The sequence below is a fragment of the Homo sapiens genome, chromosome 12, assembly GCF_000001405.40.
Source record: "Homo sapiens chromosome 12, GRCh38.p14 Primary Assembly".
NCBI lineage: Eukaryota > Metazoa > Chordata > Mammalia > Primates > Hominidae > Homo > Homo sapiens.
In genome coordinates, this window is record NC_000012.12 from 70,062,300 (window position 1) to 70,085,928 (window position 23,629).

Below are 23,629 nucleotides of genomic sequence, written 5' to 3' on the forward strand. Positions count from 1 at the left end.
AATATATGTCAATAATCTTTAAAAAGTTTTAACCCTTTGTCCCAGTTATTCAGTTTCTAGGAATCTATGCCAAAGACATAATCTGAGATGCAAATGGGATATTCATCACAGTTTTATTAATATTTTTAATGTTAAAAGTTAAAAATAAACTGTAAATCACAAAATAGTCTATAAGTTATGATACATATATAAGGCGGAATATTTTGTAAACAATATAAATGGCATATAAAAAGAATTTCTAGTGTGAAAAAACCTTATGTTTTTTGAAACAATGTTTAACTTTTAGAAAAGTAGCAATAGTACACAGAACACCCATAAACCATTTATCCACATTTAAATTTTTTAACGTTTTATCTTTATTATTCTGCGTGTGTAAAATATGTTTTTTTTCCCACCAGAACCATTTGAGAATAGGTTGCATTTATCATGCCTCATCACCCCTTAATATTCATTGTGCCTTTTCTAGACCGGAAACATTTTCTTATATAACCACAGTACAGTTATCAAATTCAGGAAATTTAACATTGGTACAATACTTCACAGTCCATGTTTCAATGTTGTCAATTTTCTCAGTAATGTCCTTTATAGCAGGTTCCCATCCCCACCTCCAACCCCTGAGTCATTAGTCCAGTCTGTAACATTTAACAACATGTCTCTCTAGAATTTTTAATCTGGAAGAGTTCTTCAGCCTTTCTTTGTTACAACATAATATATCTGAGGAATACAGTAAATTATTTTACTGAATGTTATTCAATTTGTGTTTATCCAATGTTTCCTCATGATCAAATTCAGATTATGCATTTTTGGCTGAAATATCACATTAGTGATGGTATATTCTCGGGAAAATTTCCATTATTACTGACATTAATTTTGATTATTTGGTTGAAGAGTTGTCTAGTTTTTCTACCATATTTACTTTCTTTTCTTATGAAGTTAAATCATTTGCGGTGAGATATTTTGAAATGCTGTAAGTATCCTGTTTATCATCAAACCTTTATGCTTAGATTTAGGATCCATTGATGTTTGCCTGGATCACTTTTTACTCCTATAGTTGCAAACTGTGATTTTTCTAACTTAATCATTCTTTCTATATTTATTACAGTTAGCCTTTAACTGTAATAAAGATCTTTCTTTTTCCCTTATCTATTCTCTGTCTCTCTCTTTCTCTCTCTCTCTCTTTCTCTTTCTGTCTGTCTTCAGTTTGAACTCATAGATTCTTATTTTTTCAACGGATTATAATCTATTAGTGTCTTTATTTATTTATTTTGAGATGGAGTCTTGTTGTTGTCCAGGTTGGACGGCAGTGGTGTGATCTCGGCTTACTGCAACCTTTGCCTCCCGGGTTCAAGCGGTTTCCATGCCTCAGCTTCCCACGCTTACTGGCACGTGACATGACACCCAGCTAATTTTGTATTTTTAGTAGAGATGGGATTTCACTATGTTAGCCAGGCTGGTCTCAAACTCCTGATCTCAGGTGATCTGCCCACCTCGGCTTCCCAAAGTGCTGGGATTACAGGCGTGAGCCACCACATCAGGCCTATTTTGATGCTTAAGGTGACTCCTGTGTCTTCTTGACATGCCCTGCAACTGTTTTTAGTATTTTCTTAATTTATGGCACAATGAGATGCTCTAGGTTTATCTTATACCTTCTCTGTACCAACCTCAGAACTGGCCATTTCTTCATGGAGCCCTGGCTCCTTTTGGAAGGTAATGGTATTTAGAAATCAATATCTGGGTGCTAAATATGTTCATCACTGTTGGGATAGCATTGCTTCTAAGCTTTTTCAACAAGCAGAAATATATTAGATGCTTTGTATTTTGCATATGTTGGAAATCTCAGCTCTAATGTATATATTTTAGAAACTACGAGTTTATAGTAAAATCTTCTACTCCTTTTAGCCCCAAAGTGTTGTCCTTTGCCTTTCCCCAGTCCATTCTTGTATCTCCCTTCTACAACTAGAGCTTTGGCTTCCAACATCAATCCATTTATTCATTTGTTAAAATATACAATACATGCAAAAGTTTGAGATTTGTTATGCCCATATGATGATGAAAAACAAACCTACTAAAAAGAATTTAATATTAGGCCATTCTTCTTTTTCTTCATACTGAGGGTATATGTACTAGTTTTCTAATGCTACATAACAAATTATTACACACTTAGCAACTAAAAACATCCATTTATTACATCACAGTTCTCCAGGATAGAAGTCTGAGCACAAAGCACCTGGGTTCTCTTTCATGGTCTTGCAAAGTTGAAATCAAGATGTCATCCATGTTGTGGTTCTCACGCGGAGTTTGGGATCCTCTTTCAAGTATGTTCAGGGTGTTGACTGAATTCAGTTCCATGCAGTTGTAGGCACAAAGACATACTTTCTTGTTGGTTGTCAGCCGGGGGCTATCTTCCACTCCCTTAAAAGCCACCTGCTAGTCCCTGCTACATTGTCAGTTTGCTCTTTCAAGGTCAGCAGGAGACTCCTGCAGTGGGGTAGTCTGGGCTATCTGCTCTGATGAAATTTTAAGCAACATAACATAATAATGGGAATGAGTATCTCATCACTTTGCTCACATGGAGAAACTATCCCATCATATTCACTAATTCCTACAATACTCAAAGGGAGGGGATTTTATAGGGTTTATACACCAGGCGGTGGGAATCTTGGGAGCTGCCATGGCTTGAATGTTCCTTCCAAAACTCATGTTGAAATGTAATTCCCAGTGCAACAGTGTTAGGAGATAGGGCTGAATGGGAGATATTTAGGTCATAAGGGCTCCACCCTCATGAACTGATTGTCATTATCACACGAGTAGGTTAGTTATCTCAGGAGTGGGTTGTTATAAAGCAGGCACAGTGCCTTGTGCTTTTCTCTTTTGCATGTGCCCCACTCTTCTTCCATGGGATGAGGCAGCCTAAAGCCCTCACCATATGCCAGCCCCTTGATATTGGACTTCCAAATCTCCAGAACCATGAACTAAATAAATTATAAATTATAAATTATAAAATAAATTATAAATTCATCATAAATTACCCGGTCTGCAGTATTCTGTTACAGCTACAGAAGACGGACTGAGAGAGAAAGTTGCTACTGAGAAGTGGGGTTGTTGCTATGACCGATACCTAAAATGTGGAAGCAGCTTTATAACTGGATAATGGATAGAGGTTAAAAGAGTTTGAAGGAACAGGCTAGAAAAAGCCTGCATTGCCAAAAATTGAGCATTAAAATTGATTCTAGTGAGGGCTAAGAAGAAAAGACTACAGAAAGTCTGGAACTTCTTAGAGATTAGTCAATGGTCATAACTAGAATGTTGACAGGAATATAGACAGTAAAGGACATTCTGAAAAGGTCTCAAATGGAAATGAGGAATAAGGTATTGAAAATTAGAGTAAAGGCCATTCTGGTTATAAAGTAGCAAATAACATGGTTGAACTGCGTCCATGCCTGAGGACTTTATGGAAGGTAGAATTTAAGAGGGACAAACTAGGATATCTAACAGAATATCTAAACAGTAAAGCATTCAGATTACTGCATGACTATTTTTAACTGCTTATAGTGAGATGCTAGAGGAGAGAAATTATTTAAGATGAAATTTATAATTAAAAGGAAAGAAAGCAGAAAGATTTGCAAAATTTGCAGCCTGGTCATGTAAAGGATGAAAAAGCATGTAAGGGCGCAGCCAAGTCACCCTTTAACAAAAAGATAAGCATGTACTGAAGGAAGCCAGAGGCTATTCATCAGGACGATGAAAGCAAGACTTCTAAGACATTTCAGAGCTCTTTGAGGCTGCCCCTCCTATCATAAGTCCAGAGCTCAATGAGGGCAGAATGATTTTGGGAGACTGGCCTAAGACACCATCTATGGGCTCACTGCCCAGGACCACCTCAGGTCTCTGCTCTCTGCATTCCAGCACAGTGCTCCTCAGTTATACCAGTTGTGGCTCAACCTGCTGCTCTGGAAGGTGCAAGTGATAACTCTTGGTGTATCCATGTGGTAAATCTGCAGACATGCAGCATGCAAGGGCTGTGGGGATGTGGCTTCCCCTGCCTAGAGTTTGAAGGATGTTGCTGACAATGAAAATGAGCGGTCACAGCTGAAACTGCCACAGACAGCCCCCACTAAGGCAGTGCTTAATGGAGCCAAGGGAGCAGGACCGCCACAGAGACCCCAGAACATAAAGTTACCAGCATTCAACTCCAGCCTAAGAGAGCTGCAGGCATAAGACTCCAACCCATGAAAGCTGCTTGGTGGACTGAGCCCAGGAAAACCACAGGGACAGGACTGCCCAAGGCCTTGGAGGCCCATTCCTAGGCCCAGTATGCACAGGATGCAGGACATGGAAACAAAGATAATTCTGAAGCTTTAAAATTTAAATGATGTTTTCCCTGTTGAGTTTTGAATCTGTACTTAAGGCCTGTTACTCCTTTCTTCTTCCCTATTTCTCCCTTTTGGTACGGGAATGGCAGTCCCATGCCTGTCTCACCACTGTATTTTGGAAGTCTATAATTTGTTTTGAGTTCACAGGCTTGTACCAGGAGATAAATTTGCCTCAAGGTGAATCATCCCTTGAGCCTCACCCATATCTAATTTAGATGAGACTCTAGACTTTGGATCTTTGAGGTGATTCTGGAACAAGCTAAGACTCTGGGGGCTAATGGGATAGAATAAATGCGTTATGTTTGTGAGAAGGACATGAATTTGGGGGGCCAGGGGTGAGACACTATGGTTTGAATGTGTCTCCTCCAAAAGTCATGTTGAAGCATAATCCCCAATGACAATATTGAGAGGTGGGGCTGAATGGGAGGTTTTAAGGTCATGAGGGCTGTGCCCTCTTGAATGGATTAATGGCACTATCTCAGGAGTAGGTTAGTTATCTCGGGAAGTGGTTGTTACAAAGTTAGCAGGCTCTTCAACTCCTTGAGCTTTTCTCTTTTACATGCCATTACTTTTCCTGCAACCCAAAGGCCTTTACCAGATGCCATCCCGTGGATATTGGACTTACCAGCCTCCACACTGTGAGCTAAAGAAGTTTCTACATATTATAAATTTCCCTGTCTGTGGTTCTGTTACAGCAACAGAAAACAGAGCCAGGAACCATCCTAGAATGCTGCCTATCACAGTACATATTAAAATATGTTGTTCAAAAGCAACTTTGATTAGTTCCATTTTCATGAACAATCCTTTGAGTTAGGTTATGTTATTCATTTGAAATACAGTGGATTCCATTGTTTATGTTTGCATTCAGTTTTAGAGACTATTCCCCCATCTTTGTTTATTTTAAAAAACATACAGAACATTAGCATGCTTTCAAAATAAGAACTATACAAAACCATATACACAAAGAAGCGTTACTTTCTCCCCAATCTCTTCCATTGCATTTCCTCTACTCCAATGGGCAAACAATTTTATTTAGCTTATTTATCATTCCTGTTATTTTTGCAAAATTAATTGCAAACATGAATAAAGGATATTTTCTTATTTCCTCTTGCTTCTTGCAAAAAGGTAGCATACTATAGATACTGTTTTGTACTTAACATATCCTAGAAATCCATATAAATCTACAAGAGATATTCCTCTTTTTAAAAATATATAGATGCATGATACTGCATTATATGCTTGTATCATATTTTATTCAACTGTTTTTTATTTGTGTATTTAGGTGGTTTCCAATATTTTGCAATCACAAATAATGTTGCAAAGAATGGCCTTGTGCATATGTATTTTCATATCGCGGAGTACATCATCAGAGTAAATTCCTAGGAGTAAGATTGCTGAGTCAAAGGATAAAAGCATATGTAATATTGTTAGATATTGTCATATCCTCCTTCATGAGGATTGTACCATTTTGCATTCCCACCAACAATGTATAAGGGCTTTTGTTGCCTGTCAGTCTTGCCAACTTTTAAATTTTTGCAATCTAATAGGTTAGATGTAGTATCTTTGTCTTCTTTCAGTTTGCATTTCTTGTATTATTAATAAAACTGGTCATCTATTTATGTTTAATATAGATATGTGATCTGTTAATGTTCACTTTTTTCTAAAGGATTTTTGGTGTTTTTCTTTACAGTTCTTTATATATCAGATAAATTAGTACTTCGTGACATATGTTGCAAATAGTTATTCTCAATCTGTTGTTTGCCCTTTGACTTTGCTTGTGGTGGGGTTCTGAGGGGTTTTTGTTTGTTTGTTTGTTTGTTTGTTTTTGCAATGCAAAAGGTTTTGATTTTTATGTGGTGAAATTTATCAATTTTTAGAAATTGTATCTGAATTCTAAGTCATATTTAGGTAGCATTCCCTCCACTCAGGCTATAGAGAAAATCATCCCGATTTTCCTTTAGCATTGTTAGGTCAATATTTTAACATTTAGATTTCTGATTCATTTGGAGTTTATTCTTATGTATGGTATTGTTAAAAGAAAAACCTTAGCCAAATTAAATTTAACAGAGTTTAATTGAGCAAAGAACAATTCATGAATTGACAGATTCCAGGGCTAGAGTAAGCTCCGAGGGACTCCAGGGCAGCCACATGGTGGAATATTTATAGACAGAAGAAGGAAAGTGACATACAGAAAACAGAAGTGAGGTAAAGAAACAGCCAGATTGGTTACAGCTTGGCATTCGCCTTATTTGAATGTGGTTTGAACAGTTGGCCCCCTTAGGGTGGCCCAAACTCAGTGAGTGGCACAAGAGTAGGTTACAGCCTGTTTATACCTTTAAGTTACAGTTCACTACATACACAGAAATCTTTAGGCTGAACTGAAAATATGTAAGGAGGCAGCTTTAGGCTAACCTTGATTTAACAGTATGATGAATTGATCAAATTTTATCTTTAAAATAATTTTCAATTACATGGAGAAATGCACCTAGGAATGACAATTCAAAAAGAGGAAGATAAAAAATTGTTCAATATGATACCTACATTGGCAAAAAAAAAAAAAAAAAAAAAAGTCAAACTCTGTAAAATATTTTAAGATTTCAGAGGCTTATTCTGAGCCAAATATGAATGATCATGGCCTGAGGCACAGTCTCAAGAGGTCCTGAGAACATATACCCAAGGTGGTTTGGGTTACAGCTTGGTTTGATACATCATTCAATGCATGTGAGATATACATTGGTTTGGAACGGAAAGGTGAGACAATGCAAAGCGGGAAGGGGGTGGGGCTGAAGGTCAGAGGTGGATTCAAAGATTTTCTGATTGGCAATTGGTTGGAAGAGTTAGGTTACCATCTGAAGACGTGGAATCAATAGAAAAGAGTGTCTGGGTTAAAATAAGGGGTTGTGGAGACCAAGGGTCTTAAGAAGTCCTTAGGTGGCCACCCTTAGAGATAATAGATGGCAAATGTTTCCTATTCACACCTTTAAAAGGGGCTAGAATCTCGATTAATCTCTTCAGGATTTCAGGGCCTGGAAGGGAAAAGATCTAATTATGTTAATAGAGATTCTTTACAGATGCAAACTATCCCCCACAAAAGACGGCTTTGCAGAGCCATTTCAAAATATGGCAAAGAAATATATTTTGAGGTTTTTCAGTCTAGTTAAAAAAAAAGTGAGGTAAAATATTTTGATTTCCTTTTTAATCTATCATGTGATGTTATGCAGAGTCAGACTGGAAAGGAAGCCACATTGTGTAGGGTTAAATAAAACCCATCTGGTGAGATTTTTTTGGTTTTCAGGATGTGAGTTCCCAGGCCCTTAGATAGGAATTTGGGCAAGAGAGAAAAAAGATCAGAGTTTAGACCTCACCAACATGCATACATAGAAAACAGATTATCAATAGAAGGAAATGTACCAAACATCATAAATATTTATGTCTGCTTAATAATATTATAGGGAATTTAGTTTTTTCTTCAGTGTGCTTTTCATATTTTCTATAAGGAACTTGTATTACTTCATAATCAGGAAAAAGCAGTACATGTACTTTAATTTTTTTAAAAAAGATCAAGACTTGGCCCTGCTTTTTTTTCTTTGTAGTCGAGAAAAAGACTTAGAAAATACATGTTTAGTTGAAGTAAAATAAGAACAGGATCAATACATCCTTTTTCTCCCTCTTCTCTTTGCACATCCTCTCTCTGCCTCTTCTCATGGTTTTTCCTCTATCTTCTCACTCCCCATGTCTAACATAACAGTAAAATGCATGCAGAAAATGAGCAAGCCTTCTACAGCAGAATATTTTATTGCTGCAAAAGCTACTTGGGGTTAATTTGTTCATAAAACACCACTGTAAGTTATGACAAGAACTTAGAGACCACAATGCTAATGGATAATGTAAAGCCCTCTGGCATACCAAATACTCCTTCGCTCTTAGCTAACAGTCTTGAAACAAGCAACAGGAACCCTATTACAAGGCTTTCTCTGTGTTATCCTAGAGGGTGTAAAATTCCAGGTCCCTTCATTTTAGCAGCTGAGTGGTCAGGGGAGAATTATTGCTTCCTTTATTTTATGGCCCTAGTGAGTCTCCAGGATGTGCAACTGAAAAATCAATACCAGATGGCTCAGTAGGAGACAGGTCTAATGGTTCTGCGTTGTTCTCAATCTCCCCAAGAGGAAAGCTATACAGTGGGTTACTCAGGATTGTTATCTCCAGTGGTTAATAACATTCGTTCAGTGTTCACAGTGTGCTGAGGTCTGTCTTACATCGTCTCACGAAATCACCACTGCAACCCTGTAAGGTAGGTATGGTATTATGTCATATATATTATTTGTGTCATAGCTGAGGTATAAGTGACTTTCCCTAAATCAGACCCTGGAGGTGGCAGAATCAGAATTTGAACACATAATTTTTTCAGCACCAGTGTCAGTGCTTTGAAGTCTATTTTGATGCCATTGGGTGAAATGTTGGTACCAAGAAACAAGTAAGTTAACATCTCAGTGTATCAGTGAAATCTACGACATATCCAGACAGAACAAAGTCTCCTTTGAATATCTTTTCTAGCAGCCTTTCTCAATGGGAGTTTCACAAGAAAATTAAACTCTACCAAAAACTGATTTGAATATTATTTTCTCATTTCTTCCAAGGAGGATGGCACATAACTAATATTATAGATGCAAATGAGAGAAGTTAATTCATTGTATACAATAGATGCCTTAAGGCATCAGGGTTTATTTTTTTCTCTCTCTCTGTCTCTCTTCTATCTCTCAAGTATTTGCAAGGGTAACAAAGATACACTGCAATTATCAGCTGAATTTTCCCCAGTTCCATTAACAACACTTGAAGGAGGTCTTTTACTTAGGACTTTATATTGCCGACAAAAGGATAAATGCTATATTGAGTATTGTTACTCGCTACCAACCTAAGCAACCACTTATAACACAACAGACTACAAATAAGATATGGAGTGCTTCCGGTAGTCACTTTAATCCTTCATTGTTAAGGGATAGGCAAATTAAATTCTGAGCTGGGAGGACCAAAAGAGAAGTTCCTCACCTTGCCCTTTGCCCTATGTATATCGTTTTTTGGGGGTTATGTTTTGTTTCGTTTTGTTTTTGAGACAGGGTCTCACTTTATCACCCAGGCTGGATGGAGTGCAGTGGCCCCATTTTGAACACCTGGGCTCAAATGATCCTCCCACGTCAGCCTCTCAAGTAGCTGGGCCCACAGGCACACATCACCATGCTCAGCTAATTTTTGTACATTTGTAGAGATGGGGTTTCATCATGTTGTCCAGGCTTGTCTCAAACTCCTGGGTTTAAGCGATCCCCCCACCTCAGCCTCCCAAAGTGTTGGGATTACAGGTGTGAGCCACTGCACACACCAATCCTCTTTTTTTAATTTGTCTTATTCATCTTTGCTTGGTGATCCTTTTTGGAGTTCTGCACTCCCTATTGGAGGAGGATTTACACGTTACTACTTATATTAATACAATTACTCAGAGTTCAAACTTTAACTACAAAATCTCCATCAAAGCTAATTTATATCTCTGAAATGTATTGCTTCTGACTTGCTAGTCAAGAAATAATGGCACTTGGAGTAGTATGTTTGGATAGTGGTGCATACTCTGCAGTTTGTTTGGATAGCAGTGTGCATGTTCTGTAAATTCCAAATAACTAGGACTTCCTGTTCAATTTCTCTCCCTTTCTTTCTTACTGTCCCTTAATCTTGCTCTTTTGTTTTTCAAGAGATCAACGATCAGGTTAAGTGCGAGGTGAAAAGGTCTTTCCTTTTGATACTGATATTCCCATAACTTAATGAGTGTCGTTGTTCATGGTTAGATGTGACAATTTGGTTGCTTCATGCTGGCTTTCATTTCAGCAAATCTACCATAGATAGCTATCAATGATTGTTTGATGTTCCAGAAAATACCCTCATGCTAGATAGTTTGATGCCAAAGAATGTCTTTTTTTCAGTAAATATGAAATGTTTCAATAATATTTGCTCTCTGTAGAAAAGTAAAAAGTATAAATTTCATGAAGTGTTTTCAAGAAAGTTTATAGGATGTCTTATAGACTGTTAGTTGGCTTGCAGAGTCTAAATACCAGCAACATCAATGACAACATGAAAAGTGTCACAGAGCATGCCAAGCTCTCGTTTTTCATCTTTGGATACTTGATATAGTGGAATGATGCCAGAGTTCCTGAACTATTTCTTTGTCTCACCCTCTATTAAACCTCCAGTCACATGGGGCTTGTAATTAAGAGCATGGGCTTCAGACTCAGAGCACTCAAGCACAACTCCACCATTCCTAGGTAATAATACTGAGGCAGAAGAATAAGGTCTGGAAGCAGGGAACCTAAGGACTTCCTAGAACTAAATCAAACAGAAAAAACCCCAACCTTCTACACCCAAGTAAATAACTTTGTAACTTTACATCAGCTATGGCAGGAAACATCCTCTTCATTTGCATAGGTGTACACCAAGTAAATAATCTTGTAACTTCACTTCATCCTCTTCATTTACATAGGATGTTCACCAAGTAACCAGTGGGAAACCTCTAGAGGATAACAATATTTAAATCCTAGAAAGTTATGTAACTGGTGCTCTTGAGCCACTTGCTCTAGCCAACTCCCACTCTGTGGAGTGTACTTTAGTTTCAATAAATCTGTGCTTTTCAGGCCGGGTGTGGTGGCTCACACCTGCAATCCCAGCACTTTGGGAGGCCAAGGCAGGTGGATCACCTGAGGTCAGGAGTTTGAGACCAGCCTGACCAACATGGTGAAACCCTGTCTCTACTAAAAATACAAAAATTAGCTGGGTGTGGTGGTGAGCACCTGTAATCCCACCTACTTGGGAGGCTGAGGCAGGAGAATCACTTGAACCCGGGAGGCAGAGGTTGCAGTGAGCCGAGATTGCGCCATTGCATTCCAGCCTGGGCAACAGAACGAGACTCCATCTCAAAAAAAAAAAAAAAAAAAAATCTGTGCTTTTCTTTCATTGAAATCTGTGCTTTTCTTTCATTGCTATGTTTGTGCATTTTGTCCAATTCTTTGTTCAAAACACCAAGAACCTGGACACCCTCTGCCAGTAACAATACCCAGGTGTGCTGTGAGGGTAAAGGAAACAAGGGATCACTTAGCACAGTATATGGCACAAAGGCATACTAGTAATCATTCTAATTTTTTTTTACCATGATTGATATTTATTGAGTACACAATGAATGCCAAACATTATGCTAATAACTTGTATGGATCATCTAATTTACTCCTCACAACCACCGTAGAAAGAAGATACCATTATTATTTTCATTCCATAGGTGAGACAACTAAGATAAAGAAAAGTTAAGCAACTCGTCCAAAGTCACACTGCCTGTGGGAGTCTGGATTCCAAATCAGGCAATCTGACTACACTGCTCTATGCTGTTCTGCTAAATAAAAAACTCTTAGCAAAATATGATGTCACCCCTGTGATCCTTGCAACCAACTTAAAGCATTGGACATTTAAGCAGAAGTTCCTAATTTAAAGAACTAAACTCAGAAGCTTTTCATTGTTGCTCATTGTAAGAATTAAGTAGCTAAAGCATCGTCCATAATCAGTTGCCACTATCCTTGGGAAGGTAAAGCTTGAAAAAAAAATATTTTCCCACCAAGAACAACAATGAGATCATTATCTTTGAGATTAGGAAGTGTGAACTGCTTAAATCTTCATTCAAAGACTGTAATCTCTCTCCCAAATTTTCATCCTTCTTAGGATGGTTGTGAGGGCATTTTACACATCCTAATGGCATTGGGCACACAGGTCTATGGTTCTATGTGTGATCTTTTGTGCTTTAAAATGTTCCTGGGATTTGTTTTAATTAGGAATGGCAAGACATGCAGATGGAGAAATGACTGTTATGAACAGAGAAATGGCTGTCATGCAAGGCCACATGGGGAAGCACAAAAGTCAGTGAGGAGGCAAAGGGAGCAAGAGGAAAGCATGGGAAAGAGCCTTTATTGTGGTTTTCACAGGAAGGAAATGGTGAGGCAGGGTAAACAGGTTTAAGATTGGCTAGGGACTGCCCCTAGTTATCTGATACCTGGCCCTGGGATGAATAAGGCAGGGCTACAGTGGCTTGGCCCAGTAGAGGAGGTGGTTGAAGGTATGGGGCCTGGATTGGTTGATTTGCATTTGAAGAATGGACTCCTGGGCAAGTGTTTTCTATCTCTAAGATTTAGCTAACCCTGGGAAGAGCAGACTCTCCCCAGCAAGCAGGGTCCCAAGATGTCAAAGTATCATAACATACAGAAAATAAGAAAACATGATTAATATACTCTAGTTAAAGTGTCTTATCCCATTTGTCTCCAACATTGTCCTTGGTCCTTAACTATTTCTACTTTTAAAGTGTCTGGAACCCTTGCCACCTTGCTTGATACGAGCAAGGTGTTTGCTTCAGAAGAGCTCAGCTTTCTCCCTGGCTGACTAGGCCCCAATCTCTGCTATTCTTTATACTGATGATTCTTTAATTTTAACTACAACTGCTATGCAACCCAAGCTTATGCAGGTGGTTAACAAAGGGGTTGAGAGAAATGGCAATACGAAGGCAGCTTGTGTCCTTTTGGAATCACTGAGAAGTTTACCTTACAGAATATCTTACAGAATGCCAACAGCATTCAGTTGCAGTGGAGTCAAAATGGCAGCATGATGTATTTAGGCAGAGGGAGGGTCTGGGTCAGAAGCCCCAAATTTTCAGCAGCTCCTGTTTGACATTGAAGAGATGCAGAGGTTTACTAGCATCCGCTACGAGGGTGAGAGGAAAGAATGTTACTTGGGGTAGAAAAGAAGTATCAAGTGACTTTTTTTGCACGTAAGAGATGCAGCGTGTAAATTGTTAACTCCAATCTACAGAGAATATTTGGTAATAATAATTTTGAAAATAGTAACAAAATAGACAAACTTCTAGGTAGTCTGATCAAAATCAAAATGGAAAAAACAGCAATATAAGGAATTGTAAATACAATAGTTTTATAAAAATAATTTAAAATTATAGTTAATTTTATGCCAATAAATTTGAAAATTTCAGTGAAATGGTCAGTTTTCTAGAAAAAAAAGTTACCAAATAACTCTTCAAAAGTATCAGAAATATTCCTACCTCAGGGTTGTCTCAGGGTTGTTTAGCTTCTGTTTCCTTTGCCTGGTATATTCTTCACCCAGATAGCTGAAGAGCCAGGCTCCCTCACTTTCTACCGGCTTTTTTCAAATTTGCTTTTTTATGAGGACTTCTCTGGGCACTCAACTTAAATTTGAGCTCCTCTTAAAGAGTTTGTATTTCTTCTTTCTTGTTCTTTTCTTTAACAGTGATCACTGTCTAACATATTATATATGTTACTTATTAATCATAATTGTTAACTGATTCCTTCAATGTAATCGATGAAGGCAATGTTTTCTTAAAAATTTGTTTTAATTACTGCTGTACTTCTATTGCCTAAGTTCCTGTCACGTAAGAAGTACTCAATGAGTACTTACTAAATGAATGAATGAAAAAGTCCTGAAATTGCCATGTTGAATTAAATTTGTGTGTGACCAAATAGATTCATGCTATGAAGGCAAGGGTGATTTAAAAATCAGGAAAGCCTATAAAATTAATAATATTTACCATATTAAGAGATTGAGGCCAGGCGCAGTGGCTTACATTTGTAATCCCAGCACTTTGGGAGGCCGAGGTGGGCAGATGACGAGGTCAGGAGATCCAGACAATCCTGGCCAGCGTGGTGAAACCCTGTCTCTACTAAAAATCCAAAACACAAAATTAGCTGGGTGTGGTGGTGCGTGCCTGTAATCCCAGCTACTAGGGAGGCTGAGGCAGGAGAATCACTTGAACCCGGGAGGCAGAGATTGCAGTGAGCCAAGATCACACCATTGCACTCCAGCCTGACGACAGAGCAAGACTCAGTCTCAAAAAAAAAAAAAAAAAGAGAGAGAGATAGAGAGAGAGATTGATAGAGAAATGCCATATGCTCCTCTCAATAAAGCAGAAAAGCAGAAAAACCAACTCAAAAAATGTGTATAGACGGCAACTTCACCTACCTAATCAAATGAATCTACTAAGCAGTGACAGGAAGTGTTAGTCAAAATGGTGAAACTTCAGAAGTGTTTATATTAAAATAAGAAATAAAACATAGATACCCGCAATCATTTTACTTTCCAATATTGTACTGGCATTCCTAACCAAAGGAATAATAAGAGAAAAAAAGAGATATAAGGTATAAGGATTGAAAAGAAGAGAGGAAATTTTCATCAGTAGACTATATAATTGACTTCCTAGAAGAAATCTAAAAAGCCTTCAGATAACTTGTAAAATTAAGTGACTGCAGAAGATTACCAAATCTAAGATCAATTGTCAAAAAACAATGCCATACTTAACAGCAATAATTATTAGAAAATGTAACACAATTATTTAAAATATTGGTCACGACATTTATGGAGAATATTACAAAACTACATTAAAATGCATAAAATAAATAGAGTACAAATACAAAAATATAATTGGGATGCGTACACCAGATGATGCCAAACTTCAGGAAAAGGGAAAAGAATGGGCCTGGTTAAGAAAACACACAGTATTTTAAAAAGAAAAGAAAATCTGAAGAAAATAAAAGTCGTTTGTTCATTTTGGTGGTGAGCATTTATCACAGATATTCATTACATTTTCTGTATTTTGGGACCACCCCCTCCAAATATAAATAAATTAAGGGAGGGATCTCATTAATCTGAAAAAAGGATCTTGTGAAAAATATTAATATTAATATCTTCATTGATGACTCAATTACCATCTAATGTTCATAGCCATTTATCAATGTTTTCAGAAATACTACAATAGCCTTAAATCCTCTATTCAGAGCCTTTTTGGCATGATCCACTTCCTGGGTTGCAACAGAATTTTTGAGACTAGATGACAAAAATTGCTGCAATGATTTCTGGGCTTTATTCTCGTAGATTTGTCAGAGGTGTTTGAACACAGCAACTCCATCTTGAATAGGGGCTGGGTAAAATAAAGCTAAGACCTGCTGGTCCGCATTCCCAGGAGGTAAGGCATTCTAAGTCACAGAATGAGATAGGAGGTCAGCACAAGATACAGGTCATAAAGAGGTTGATAAAAGAGGGTGCTGATAAAAGAGGTTGTAGTAAAGAAGTTGGCTAAAACCCACCAAAGACGGTGATGAGAGTGGCCTCTGGTCGTCCTCACTGCTATACTCCCATCAGTGCCATGACAATTAGAAATGCCATGGCAACGTCAGGAAGTTACCCTACATGGTCTAAAAGGAGGAGGCATGAATAATCCAACCCTTGCTTAGCATATGGTCAAGAAATAATTATAAAAATGGGCAACCAGCAGCCTTTGGGTCTGCTCTGCCTATGGAGTAACCATTCCTTTATTCCTTCACTTTCCTAATAAACTTGCTTTCACTTTACTGTATGGACTTGCCCTGAATTCTTTCTCACACGAGATCCAAAACCCTCTCTTGGGGTCTGGATCGGGACTCCTTTCTAGTAACAGATTGAACATTATTCTCAAGTACTTATTTGTTTGTTTGTTTGTTTGTTTGTTTGTTTTCAGAATCTGCATCCTGGTCATTGAAGCTACATGTAGAACGTGAGAGTATTAAATAACTGAACAGCCTTGGCATGCCTAGGCAGATATCCCAAAACTTGTATTCTCTACCTTCTGCTGACCTATTTGGCAAGACATTTCTGCCCAACATTAAAGAAAATCTTTTATTGGAAATGACTCAAAATTCTATGGCACAGTGAGGCAGTCTTACATGTTTTCAGAATCTTGAGTTCTTTTTCCATTTTGAATCATGGGAAATTCTAGTGTATGGAGAGAGATTTTATGAGCTTGGTTATATTTTATGTAATTGTTCCAGAGAATATGCTTTGTGAGTTAATTTATGTGTTAATAACTACCACCCAAAGGGCAAATGATATACAAATTATTAAACGAGCCTATCTGCATATTCTCTTTTTTTGGACAATTACTTTTCCCAAATAACACCAATCAGACAGCTATAATTCGTTTTTGTCCTGCTAATAGAGATCTAGCAATCAGAGAAGTCATTATCTGAGGCTATAAGGAAGACTGTTTCTTAGAATGTCTTATAGTCATAGGTTTCATTTAAATAATAAGAAAATTACCAGTTTACTTCATGAGAGCAATATAAATGTTTTGACCTAATATGTGAACATTTTGGTTTACTTTTTTTCACTGATCTACTTTATAACAAGTCTCAATATGATGCTGCTTCTGTATATATAGGAGTTAGGCAAACTCAGATGAGACCATTAAAAAAAGAATATTCAAAATAGGTATCAAAGTGGGGAGGGGAATAAGCTCAGAGTATTTTTCTCTAACCCTTTTCTGAACAGTTTAACTCTGAAACACAGCCACTGTTCAGCAAAACTATAAGACAAACAAACTGATATGAATTTGGTGCCCTTCTACCTCTTTTTGTGCCTCCCTCCTTTCTCCTCTTCCATTGTAATTCATACTCCCATGGTGTGTAGCACTGCCTTTCATTGCATTCTGTAGATTTGGGCAGCACCCAGGGCATCAAAATGACACTTCCTACCTCCCCTCACATCAAAATCCTATTTCTGTAGTACTGCGCTCTGAGGCATTAGCTCTGGAATAAAGTAATTCCTCGCTAACTTGCTAATGATTAGTGATGACTCTATATGGGCCTCTACAGAGAGCAACTCTGTAGGAACTGTCTAGAGTTCCTCTAATTGTTGTATGGGCCTACTCACACATCCCATCTCTCCTGGTAATGCCGGCACCATTCAGAGACCCAAGAGACTGCAGGGTCATAGAGCAAATTCAGTGCCAAATTCAGCCATATTGACTTTGTCTTCTTGAGTATTTCAGAGGACATCGCAGTAAAATGATCACAGATAACTTATAATACTGGAAAAGCAATTTCTGTGATTCAAAGCCTGAAGAGCACTCAGGATTTCATAATAATTCTGTAAAGTCTACCAAGCCTTCAGAGGGGATTATCCTGGGATTTGGGGGAGGGAGACATAGTATAGTTAATGACAGCTCCAGGAAGTCACTTCTTTGCAAATAACATTAGACAAACCACTCTGATATTTTGTAAACATATATTTTGTAAACAAACTGCTATATGTAAACATATAGCAGTCAGAAAAAGTATGGGAAAACATTTTTAAAGTGAATATTGGAAAGTGAAATGGTTCTTGTTAAGTCTTAAAAACTTAGGAGGCATAGAATTCAGAATAAAGCCTAGATACCTAAAGTCTATTTGTTTTTTAAGCTTCGGTTAAAGACTTCGGAGCCTTTGAAAATTAAATCCAGAGCAAATCCAGTAGGAGGATTATATGGTAAATATACAGATGTTTGGAATGAGGGTGGGTTTTTTTGTTTGTTTGTTTTTGTCCTTAGAAATAATTATGTACATGAAAGAGGATTGACTAGTAAATGGACATAGATTGACTCTACTATTAAAACTATCCAGGGTCAGGCACGTTGGCTCACACCTGTAATCCCAGCACTTTGGCAGGCCGAGGTGGGCAGATCACCTGAGGTCAGGAGTTCAAGACCAGCCTGGCTAACCCCGTTTCTACTAAAAATACAAAAATTAGCTGGGCGTGGTTGCACTCACCTGTAGTCCCAGCTACTAGGGTAGCTGAGCCAAGAGAATTGCTTGAACTGAACTGGGGAGGCAGAGGTTGCAGTAAGCCAGGATCGCGCCACCGCACTCCAGCCTGGGCAACAAAGCAAGACTGCATCTCAAAAATAAATAATACATACATACATACATACATCTGAAATATTTTAGTTTCCTTCTGTAATGTGTGTAGGTGTGTGTGTGCCTAATGAAATCTAATGAACTATGAAGTGAATAGGAATTTTAAAAGCCTAAGTGACTTTAGTTTCCTCTGTTAGAAAGTCATAATCACCTAATTTATACTGCAACCTTTTATTCTATGATGTGAGTAAGTAAACATTGAACAGAAACTACTATTAGGGAACAATGTTTTCCTTTTTTTTTTTTTTTGAGACGGAGTCTCGAGGGAGCAATGTTTTCTACAGTTCCTTTTGAGAAAAGAGGAAATAGACTGTGAAGAGGATCAGAACATGTCACCCCAAAATATACCACTTTGGCACTTTGGCATATTTATTATTTTGAGCTGAAAGCCATTGAGAAACAGCAGCAGGGAGGAGTCTCTGTCTTTCCCCTTTCTACCTTAAGGCAAGGCATACATTTCCCATGAGAAAGGTGACCTCCTATAGGAGGAGGAGAACATTCTTATCACCAAAGGCAAGCCTTACTATGAATAAAATAGTTCCTATCATCCATTAGTTTCCCCATATATTTTCTAGTTACTTTCCCACACTTCCCCACCCTTAGCCCAAACCTCTTTTTCCTTTGCTTTGTCATGTCTCCATTATTTATTGCTCTTTGTGAGAATGATATAGAAGACCCTGGGCCTAACGGCTTCCTTAGAATTTTCACTTCTTTCTATGAAGCCCCCAGCACCACATAAAAATATTAACATCAAACAAAATCTGTATGCTTTTTCTCCTATTAATCTGCCTTTTGTCAGTCCAATTTACAGGTCACAGCAACAGAACCTAAGAGAATAGAGTAAAAGTCTTTCCTCCCCCACAACTACAAATATAAAAGGTTTAGATGTGAGCTTCAAGTTATCTCAGGAAATTTTTTCAAAAGGGACAAGTATTGACCCATATTTCTGTGCTCATAAAATTCTTTTTTTTTTTTTTTTTTTTTTTGAGATGGAGTCTCGCTCTGTCACCAGGCTGGAGTGCGGTGACAACTGCAAGCTCTGCCTCCATGGGTTCACGCCATTCTCCTGCCTCAGCCTCCCAAGTAGCTGGGACTGCAGGCGTGTGCCACCACACCCAGCTAAGTTTTGTATTTTTAGTAGAGACGGGGTTTCACCATGTTGGGCAGGATGGTCTCAATCTCCTAACCTTGTGATCCGCCCACCTCGGCCTCCCAAAGTGCTGGGATTACAGGTGTGAGCCACCGCGCACAGCCAAAATTCTTACCTTACTAAAAATTCTTAGCTTGTGAAGAAAACTAAGACCAACTAGCTTAAGAAAAAAATGTGTTGTCTCATATAATTGAAAAGCAAAGTTGGCTTTAGCCATAACTAGATCGGGGAGCTTAAAAACTGTCATTGGTACTTAATTTCTCCATCTTTCCAACTCATGGTTCTATCTTTTTCTTTGTTGATTGTGCTTCCAGGCAGACTTTCCCCTTATGATATCAAGATGGCTCACCAGCAGCTCCAAACTCACATCTCTGCCAGCATGACAACTCTAGAGGAAAAAGTAATTTTATTTTTCAATTGTCCCTATAAAACTCCAGGATTGAGTCTCATTAAACCAACATGTAACTAAAGATTAAACACTATACCATCATGGGATTAGCATGGTGACCAAGAGTATGGGGTACACTGAGTTGCTAAATCTAGTTATTTGCCATTCCTTGGAGCTAAGGGTGGGTCACCTCTACACTAACCACGTAGACTGAGGGTAAGAGGATAGTGGTTCCCCAAAGGAAAAAGAAAATGCTGCTATCAAAAGAAGAACAAGTAAATGCTGAATAGATAAAAACAACAGATGTTCACCACTTTCCCACATGCTGTGAGCTATGATCATGCAACTGCACTCCAGCCTGGGGGACAGAGTGAGACCCTAGTCAATAAATAATAAATAAACTTATTATTTATTTATATATATATTTATATATTTATTTATTTATTTATTTATTTATTTATATGGAGAGGCAAGTTTATGTGGAGAGGCAAAAGACCCAGAATAGCCAACATAATATTGAAGGAGAAGAACAAAGCCAACTGACACTACCCAACTTCTTAACATACTATAAAGCTACAATAATCAAGACAATGTGGTATTGGCAAAAGAATAGACAAGTTGATCAATGGAACAGAGGAGAAAGCCCAGAAATAGACCTACTTAAATATAGTCAACTGATCTTTGACAGAAGAGCAAAGGCAACACATTGAAGAAAAGATAATCTTTTCAACAAGTGGTGCTGAAAAAAATTGGACCTTCACATTAAAAAAAAAAATGAAACTAGATGCGGACTTGGCACATTTCAAAAAAATTAACTCAAAATAGATCACAGGCCTAAAAGTAAAATGTAAAACTCCTAGAGGATAACAGGTGAATATCTAGATGATTTTGAGTTTGGCAATGACTTTTTAGATATGACACCAAAGGCCTGATTCATGAAAGAAGGATTGATAAACTGGAGGTCATTAAAATTAAAATTTTATTTCCCACACTATTATCCCCCATACTCAGAGATTATATACCATAGTGACAGGGGGCACATATGTTTGAGACAGGATGGGTAGGCATTTGCTCTAAGGTCAGGACATGCAGTCAACCTAGGTGCTCATCAACAGTGGATTGGATAAAGAAAATGTGATACATATGCACCATGGAATACTACGCAGCCATAAAAAATGAAATCATGTTCTTTGCAGCAACATGGATGCAGTTGGAGGCCATTATCCTCAGATAATTAACACAGAAACAGAGAACCAAATATCACATGTTTTCACTTATAAGTGGGAGCTAAACACTGGGTACGCATGGACACAAAGGTGGGAATGAAAGACACTGGGGATTCCAAAAGTGGGGAAGAATTGAAAAACTACCTATTGGGTACTATATTCACTACTTGGGTGATGGGATCAATAGAAGTTCAAACCTCAGCATCATGCAATATACCCATGTAACAAACCTGCACATATAATCCTTAAATTTCAAATAAATAAAATAAATCAATAATAATTTAATAATTATTAATAATAAATAAAATAAAATCCTTAAATTTCAAATAAATAAAAGAGTCTATTTAAACATTAAAAGAATAAGACACAGACTGGTAGAAAATATTCACTATACAGCAGGGCACGGTGGCTCACACCTGTAATCCCAGCACTTTGGGAGGCTGAGGCGAGTGAATTACTTGAGGCCAGGAGTTTAAGATCAGCCTGGCCAACATGGCAAGGCAAAACCCTGTCTCTGCCCAAAATACAAAAATTAGCCAGGCATAGTGGCATGCCTGTAATTCCATCTACTCAAGTGGCTGAGTCACGAGAGTCATTTGAACCCTGGAGGCAGAGGTTGCAGTGAGCTGAGATCAAACCACTGCACTCTGCCTGGGTGACAGAGTGAGACTGCGTCAAAAAAAAATAATAAAAGAAAAGAAAGAAAGAAAAGAAAGATGACAAGGAAGGAAGGAAGGATGGAAGGAAGGGCGGAAGGAAGGAAACATTCACTATACCTAGACCAGACAAAAGACTTGTATCCAAAATATATAGAGAATTCTTACAACTAAAAAACACCGAGAAAAAAAAAAATTAATGGGCAAAAGTTGTAAATAGATACTTCAAAAAAATATATATTAACAACCAATGCACACACAAAAAGATCAAGATCTTCAACATCAGTCATCAGGGAAGTATAAACTGAAACCACAGTGAAATGCTACCCAATGCCTATTAGAATGGCTAAAATTAGAAATACTGATAATACAGCATGTTGACAAGAAAACAAAGCAACTGGAACACTCATATACTGTAATTTAAAATAGCAAACCACATTGGACAATTGGCAGTTTTTTATACTGTTAAACACATACTAACCATACAATCCAGTAATCCCACTTCTAGGTATTTACCCAAAGGAAATGAAAACATGTCCACACAAAGGATTGTATATGAATATGCATAGCAACTTTATCAGTAAAAGCCCACAACTAGAAAAGACCCAAATGCCTTATCGACTAGATAAACAAATTATTCTAAATCCATGCAATGGAATATTATTCAGCAATAAAAAGAAATAAGCTATGCAACAACACAGATGAATTTTAAAAACATATTGAGTAAAATAAACCAGACAAAAGATTACACACTATGTGCTTTCATAAATATAAAATTCTAAGGCAGGCAAAACTAATCTATAGTGACAGAAAGCAGACCAGCAGTTGCCTAAGGTCAGGGGTGAAGTATATCGAATGAGAAGGGACACAGGGTGATAGAAATATTCTGTATCTTATGTTACTGGTTACATAGGCATATTCATTTGTCAAAATGCTTTGAAGTGTATGCATATAGTTGTTGCATTTTAGCATATGTAAATTATTCCTCAGTAAAGTTTATTTTTAATTTTTTGGAAAATATTACCTTCAAAAAAATGAATTGTAACAGAATTGTGATTAAAGGCAGTATTATAAAAAACAATGAGTGAGTACTACGGATGTCTTATACTAAATTATGAAGTAGGTTAAACTTTTAAAATGCTCTTTAACATTTTCTATAATAGGTTCTTCTTTCTCCCAACCTCCAAAGGAAAGGAAGGAAATTGATATGCCAAAAACCATACAAAAGATAAATCCAGGAGTTGGTTATTTGAAAGATGTAATAAGATAAATAAAACGCTACCTAGACTAATAAAGAAAAAAAGAGAGATGGTTCAAATAAGCACAATCAGAAATGACAAAAGGGATGTTACCACTCACAACACAGAAATACAAAAAACCATCAGCAACTACTACTGTCAGGCCTCTGAGCCCAGGCCAGGCCATCGCATCCCCTGTGACTTGCACGTATACATCCAGATGGACTGAAGTAACTGAAGATCCACAAAAGAAGTAAAAACAGCCTTAAATGATGACACTCCACCATTGTGATTTGTTCCTGCCCCACCCTAACTGATCAATGTACTTTGTAATCTCCCCCACCCTTAAGAAGGTTCTTTGCAATTCTCCCCACCCTTGAGAATGTACTTTGTGAGATCCACCCCTGCCCACTAGAGAACAACCCCCTTTGACTGTAATTTTCCATTACCTTCCCAAATCCTATAAAATGGCCCCACCCCTATCTCCCTTCCTGACTCTCTTTTCGGACTCAGCCCGCCTGCACCCAGGTGAAATAAACAGCCATGTTGCACACACAAAGCCTGTTTGGTGGTCTCTTCACACGGACGCGTATGAAATTTGGTGCCATGACTCGGATCGGGGGACCTCCCTTGGGAGATCAATCCCCTGTCCTCCAGCTCTTTGCTCCGTGAGAAAGATCCACCTACGACCTCAGGTCCTCAGACCGACCAGCCCAAGAAACATCTCACCAATTTCAAATCCGGTAAGTGGCCTCTTTTTATTCTCTTCTCCAACCTCCCTCACTATCCCTTAACC

At 37.9% G+C, this 23,629-nt stretch overlaps 1 long non-coding RNA gene across 1 annotated transcript, besides 1 other annotated feature; it reads left to right on the plus strand.

Moving 5' to 3' along the window:
• Window positions 1-895: 895 nt before the first annotated feature.
• On the plus strand, window positions 896-22,836 carry LOC124902959 (uncharacterized). The gene is made up of 5 exons (XR_007063359.1): window positions 896-967; window positions 2,196-2,315; window positions 8,601-8,664; window positions 19,640-19,725; window positions 22,759-22,836. It is a non-coding gene; the product is annotated as an uncharacterized LOC124902959 (long non-coding RNA).
• Window positions 7,019-7,614: an enhancer, noted in NCBI's record as "OCT4-NANOG hESC enhancer chr12:70463098-70463693 (GRCh37/hg19 assembly coordinates)". NCBI's record gives its function as "activates a minimal SCP1, AML or CMV promoter by ChIP-STARR-seq in naive H9 embryonic stem cells {active_cell/tissue: H9 hESC(naive)}" and the evidence as "EXISTENCE:reporter gene assay evidence [ECO:0000049][PMID:30033119]".
• Window positions 22,837-23,629: the final 793 nt, after the last annotated feature.